This window comes from Homo sapiens (genome assembly GCF_000001405.40).
Source record: "Homo sapiens chromosome 16 unlocalized genomic scaffold, GRCh38.p14 Primary Assembly HSCHR16_RANDOM_CTG1".
Lineage (NCBI taxonomy): Eukaryota > Metazoa > Chordata > Mammalia > Primates > Hominidae > Homo > Homo sapiens.
This window is the reverse complement of record NT_187383.1, coordinates 1,344,319-1,346,100: the sequence shown is the minus strand read 5'-3', so window position 1 is coordinate 1,346,100 and position 1,782 is coordinate 1,344,319. Positions and strand designations below refer to the sequence as shown.

Here is a 1,782-nt window from a genome sequence, read left to right as displayed (position 1 = left end):
CAGCACTTTGAGAGGGTGAGGCGGGCAGATCACTGGAGGTCAGGAGTTCGAGACCAGCCTGGCCAACATGGCGAAACCCCGTCTCTATAAAAACACAAACATTAGCCAGGCATGCTGGCGCATGCCTGTAATCCCAGCTACACAGGAGAATTGCATGAACCCAGGAGGTGGAAGTTGCAGTGAGCTGACATCGCGCCACTGCACTCCAGCCTGGGTGACAAAGCAAGACTGCATATAAAATATATATGTCTATACATATATTTTTGCTCCCGCAGCCGCGGCTTTTTGCCGCCGCTTTCTGCCGCCGCCCCTTTTTGCCGCAGCTTTCTGCCGCCGCCGCCGCTTTCTGCCGCCGCCGCCTTTTGCCGCCGTCGCCGCCGCCCCGGCTTTTTGCCTCCATCCCCGCCGCCGCCGCTTTTGCCGCCGCCCCCGCCGCGGTTTTTTGCCCCCGCCGCCGCCGCGGTTTTTTGCCCCCGCCGCCGCGGCTTTTTGCGGCTTGTTGCCCCCGCCGCCGCTGTTTTTTGCCGGCGCGGCTTTTTGCCCCCGCCGCCGCGGCTTTTTGTGGCTTTTGCCCCCGCGGCTTTTTGCCCCCGCCGCCGCGGGTTTTTGCCGTCGCGGCTCTTTGCCCCCGACGCCGCGCCTTTTTGCCCCCGACGCCGCAGCTTTTTGCCCGCCGCGGCTCTGAGGGCGGGAGCGGCACACTCGGCTGCCAGCTCTACCGGCGTCCTGGCTCGGGCAGCGCTGAGGGGCGCTCCTGGTCCAGCTCTCCCGGCTCGGGGGTCCCTTGCCTACGCGCCGGCGCCCCGGGCTCCCCGCCTTGGCCGCTGCGGCCTGCATAGAGCGGCGCTCCGCGCGGCCGCGATGTGAGAGAAGAAGGAGGGCGGTGGCGGGGGTGATGCGCCGGCCGCGGTGGGAGGCGCAGGGGCGGCGGCCAGCCGGGCGCTGCAGCAGTGCGGGCAGCTCCAGAACCTCATCGGCAGCCTGCGCGGGCTGCGCACCAAGTGCGCTGTGTCCAACGACCTCACCCAGCAGGAGATACGGACCCTGGAGGTAAGGGGTGTGTGGACCCCGGCTGGGCTCGAGGAGCGGCCCGGACACCTCCCTCCGGGCCCTAGTTCACTTCTGGCGGAGTTGCATCCTTGAGCTCGAGTCGCCCGGTTGGAGGCTTCTCCCTCCTGCACTTGCTGATGCGGCAGCCGGAGGACCCGGGTCCAGCCCTCACCTTGGGCAGGATTTCTGGGGCGGGTGCGTGGTCGGAACTGGGATAGAGGCTCGAGGGGCCCATGGGTGGGGTGGGCTGCGCGCGGACATCCCCTTACCCCCCCCCCCCCCCGAATTTCCATCTGGTCCAGCCCTCTCATCTTGTAGGTGAGGAAACCGAAGGCCTGAGGGAGAACTGACTTGCCAGGAACCCCTGTTAAGGAGAATTAACAAAGAGTGGTTATTAAAGGAGAACTGAGTTGGGAGTCAGACCTGGAGGCCCACACGCTTGGTTAAGACATTATACCACCTTGAATCTGGCATGTTGACTGAGGGTGAGCCACTCCATCCTCGTCTGATTGTGGGGTCTTGACCTCAAGGGGTTTCTTGCAGGAAAAAGCAAATAGGCTTGCTTTCCTAGCTCTGTCCAGTACCTTAGGGACCCTGAGGACTGGAGAGATTCTTGGAGAGCCATCTGGTGTATGTCATGGGTGGGCCTTTTTTGAAGGTCAGTCTGCCCAGTGGGCTGGCTCAGCCCGAATGAACTGTCTTGAATCTTTGGAGTTGTCTGTGTACTTTTAA

General features: G+C 63.4%; 1 protein-coding gene across 1 annotated transcript; it reads right to left on the bottom strand.

Moving 5' to 3' along the window:
- Positions 1–432: 432 nt before the first annotated feature.
- On the bottom strand, positions 433–1,361 carry LOC102724014 (translation initiation factor IF-2-like; the record flags this gene model as incomplete). Its single annotated transcript, XM_037916379.1, has 2 exons — positions 1,320–1,361; positions 433–1,044 (listed from the first exon to the last, which is right to left on the bottom strand). Coding segments are annotated over exons 1-2 (654 nt in total), but the record flags the coding sequence as incomplete, so codon positions are not given.
- Between the last annotated feature and the right edge of the window lie 421 nt (positions 1,362–1,782).